General features: G+C 47.7%; 1 pseudogene; it reads left to right on the forward strand.

Annotated features, from left to right (window-relative positions):
- On the forward strand, nt 283–1,316 carry RPSAP4 (ribosomal protein SA pseudogene 4; annotated as a pseudogene).

Below are 2,192 nucleotides of genomic sequence, written 5' to 3' on the forward strand. Positions count from 1 at the left end.
GTCGACATCACTGCCCCGTCATCACAGGCTTTCAGTCTGTTACAGTGGCAAAAGCAATTCAGCCTTTTTGATGGTGCAGAGCTTCAACCATTTCAACAAATAAAGGGGCAGGGTGTCATGTTCTGGAAAAGAAGCATGCAGCTAGATTTAGGCATTTTTGCTCCTCAGAACTACAAAAATGAGTCTGCACACAACCATCCTTCCAAACTTGACTCATCTTTGCAAAGTCTCCTTTTAAGTACAAAAAAAATGGCATTGCCCATTAATTTTGAAAAGATAGCCTTTCCGCGCTACCTACAGAGGGGTCCATACAGCGTCGTTCTGGATTCCCGTCGTAACTTAAAGGGAAACTTTCACAATGTCTGGAGCGCTTGATGTCCTGCAAATGAAGGAGGAGGATGTCCTTAAGTTCCTTGTAGCAGGAACCCACTTAGGTGGCACCAATCTTGACTTCCAGATGGAACAGTACATCTATAAAAGGAAAAGTGATGGCATCTATATCATAAATCTGAAGAGGACCTGGGAGAAGCTTCTGCTGGCAGCTCGTGCTATTATTGCTATTGAAAACCCTGCTGATGTCAGTGTTATATCCTCCAGGAATACTGGCCAGAGGGCTGTGCTGAAGTTTGCTGCTGCCACTGAAGCCACTCCAATTGCTGGTCACTTCACTCCTGGAACCTTCACTAACCAGATCCAGGCAGACTTCTGGGAGCCAAGGCTTCTTGTGGTTACTGACCCCAGGGCTGACCACCAGCCTCTCACGGAGGCATCTTATGTTAACCTACCTACCATTGCTCTGTGTAACACAGATTCTCCTCTGCGCTATGTGGACATTGCCATTCCATGCAACAACCAGGGAGCTCGCTCAGTGGGTTTGATGTGGTGGACGCTGGCTCGGGAAGTTCTGCGCATGCGTGGCACCATTTCTCGTGAACACCTATGGGAGGTCATGCCTGATCTCTACTTCTACAGAGATCCTGAAGAGATTGAAAAAGAAGAGCAGGCTGCTACTGAAAAGGCAGTGACCAAGGAGGAATTTCAGGGTGAATGGACTGCTCCAGCTCCTGAGTTCACTGCTACTAAGCCTGAGGTTGCAGACTGGTCTGAAGGTGTACAGGTGCCCTCTGTGCCTATTCAGTAGTTCCCTACTGAAGACAGGAGTGCTCAGCCTGCCATGGAAGACTGGTCTGCAGCTCCCACTGCTCAGGCCACTGAATGGGTAGGAGCAACCACTGACTGGTCTTAAGCTGTTCTTGCATAGGCTCTTAAGCAACACGGAAAAATGATTGGCGGAAAATAAACATCAGTTTCTTAAAAAAAAAAAAAAAAGAAAAGAAAAGATAACAATGTCCTTCTTTGCAAGGCTTCTGTGAATTCAGTCCTTTCTCCCAGTTTCACAGGCAAATAAGGACAGGGACTCAGTTGAGGTGACTAATCCTCGGAGCCACAGCCCCCCAATTCCAGGGGCTTGGAAATGCTGGGATCACAATTAAAGGCTTTGAACTTCCACCAGACACCACCACCAGAGCTCACTCCATCCGCAAATGCTATGTACATTCTTGGCCACAAAAACACTTCCAGGACAAAAAAATGTTTCAGAGTTCAGAACTATTCAATCCCACATTTGTTCTCTATGAACAAACGATGCAGGAAGAAATGGAAGAAGCTGAATCTCTCTGAGGGCACACTTTATTTTGCCCTGATGAGAACTTAGTAGCACCTAAGTGCTTCCCAATCTGACAAGGCCATGCTACACACTCCAAGGACTATTGCTGAAGTTGGCTGTTCACCTGCAAAAATACTCAAGGACCAGCAAGGCAAAGGTGATCTTCCCAAAACGGTCCTCCAGGCTGGAACCAGCTGTGGTTTCCATTCTGCAACACCCTGCCTTGCCCCACATTCTAGAAATTCTAGTGGACTTTGAGAGAGTGGTATCAGGGAGATGTATTTGCCAACTCTTTTTTCAAATTTGGCAGATGAGGCCCATGTCTTTTCACGGGCTGTCTTCTAGAACTAACTGTCCTTCATTACTGCATGTTTACCTGCTGTATAGCAATCTGTCACCCCCACTGGTCCCTGAGGCTGGGAGTACGGTGTGTGTGGGTGTTCTCTGGGGCAGCCTGCAAGGCTGGGTGTGGAAGAGGATGCGACACGGCCTCTGCCTGGGCCCTGCTGACCTAGTCATTCCCTGT

Source organism: Homo sapiens, chromosome 14, assembly GCF_000001405.40.
Source record: "Homo sapiens chromosome 14, GRCh38.p14 Primary Assembly".
NCBI classification, from domain to species: Eukaryota; Metazoa; Chordata; class Mammalia; order Primates; family Hominidae; genus Homo; species Homo sapiens.